Below are 1501 nucleotides of genomic sequence, written 5' to 3' on the forward strand. Positions count from 1 at the left end.
GTATTTTTAGTAGAGAAGGGGTTTCGCCATCTTGGCCAGGCTGATCTTGAACTCCTTACCTTGTGATCCACCTGCCTCGGTCTCCCAAAGTGCTGGGATTATAGGCATGAGCCACCGTGCCTCACCTATTCAACTGATTTTAATACTTACTTCTACACAGATACTTTCATGGGAATGCCGGTATCAGCTTTCTTCAGTAGAGCTTTTCCTCCTCCATGAATTTTGCTTATAGGGTGATAATTATATAAACAATTCCCATATAATTGGGCCAGGCGCAGTGGCTCACACCTGTAATCCCAGGACTTTGGGAGGCTGAGGAGGGTAGATCACCTGAGATCAGCAGTTCGAGACCAGCCTAGCTAACATGGTGAAACCCCGTCTCTACTAAAAATACAAAAATTCGCCGGGCGTGGTGGCGGGTGCCTGTAATCCCAACTACTCTGGAGGCCAAGGCAGGAGAATTGCTTGAACCTGGGAGGTGGAGGTTGCAGTGAGCTGAGACTTTGCCGTGTCACTCCAGCCTGGGTGGCAGAGTGAGACTCTGTCACAAACAAACAAACCAAAAAAAAAAAAAAAAACACCAAAAAACTGAAAAAACAAACTTCCCATATAATTAGAGTATATACTTCTATTGTTACTTTTTTCAATTTATTAATGACATACTGTAAACAACATTAAAAATAATAATCCCTTTCATTTCTCAGCCCCAGCACAGCTGCCTCCTCCCTGGGGTTTCTGACACTCTCAGGATGTGGGTTTTCACACTGTGTCTCTCGCACAGTAATACGTGGCCGTGTCCTCAGATCTCAGGCTGCTCAGCTCCGTGTAGGCTGTGCTGATGGACGTGTCCCTGGTCATGGTGACTCTGCCCTGAAACTTCTGTGCATAGTTTGTGCCACCACTGTTAGGGTTGATCCGTCCCATCCACCCAAGCTCTTGTCCAGGGGCCTGTCGCACCCAGTGCATATAGTAGTCGGTGAAGATGTATCCAGAAGCCTTGCAGGAGACCTTCACTGAGGCCCCAGGCTTCTTCACCTCAGCCCCAGACTGCACCAGCTGCACCTGGGAGTGGGCACCTGTGGAGAGGACACAGGAGTGGATGAGATCTCCCTGGACTGGACTCAATCTCTTTCTCATCACTGGGACTAGGGAGCCTCCTACCTGTAGCTGCTGCCACCAAGAAGAGGATCCTCCAGGTCCAGTCCATGGTGAGGAGCTGAGCTCTCAGGGGATTCTCTAGAGGACGGATGTGGTTGTTGGGTGATGCTCTCAGGGCAAGGACAGATCTGTATTTACTTCAGTAAATCTCAGGTTATTTGCATATTCATGAGGGGTACTATTTCATAGCTTCATAGCTCTAGACTTGATCCAAGATGAGAAAGAGAACACACATTATTTATGGGCCATGCAACAGTGGGACGCTGAAGCCCTGTCCTAATCCTTGTTTAATGATGTGTGTCCCCTTGTATGCCCAGAACTCTGCTAAAATAAATTGTCTCTG

At 48.0% G+C, this 1501-nt stretch overlaps 1 pseudogene across 1 annotated transcript; it reads right to left on the reverse strand.

Moving 5' to 3' along the window:
* Window positions 1-627: 627 nt before the first annotated feature.
* On the reverse strand, window positions 628-1269 carry LOC102724760 (immunoglobulin heavy variable 1/OR15-1 pseudogene; annotated as a pseudogene). The gene is made up of 2 exons (NR_135695.1): window positions 1162-1269; window positions 628-1076 (listed from the first exon to the last, which is right to left on the reverse strand). The product of NR_135695.1 is annotated as an immunoglobulin heavy variable 1/OR15-1 pseudogene (transcript).
* Between the last annotated feature and the right edge of the window lie 232 nt (window positions 1270-1501).

Source organism: Homo sapiens, chromosome 15 (genome assembly GCF_000001405.40).
Source record: "Homo sapiens chromosome 15, GRCh38.p14 Primary Assembly".
Lineage (NCBI taxonomy): Eukaryota > Metazoa > Chordata > Mammalia > Primates > Hominidae > Homo > Homo sapiens.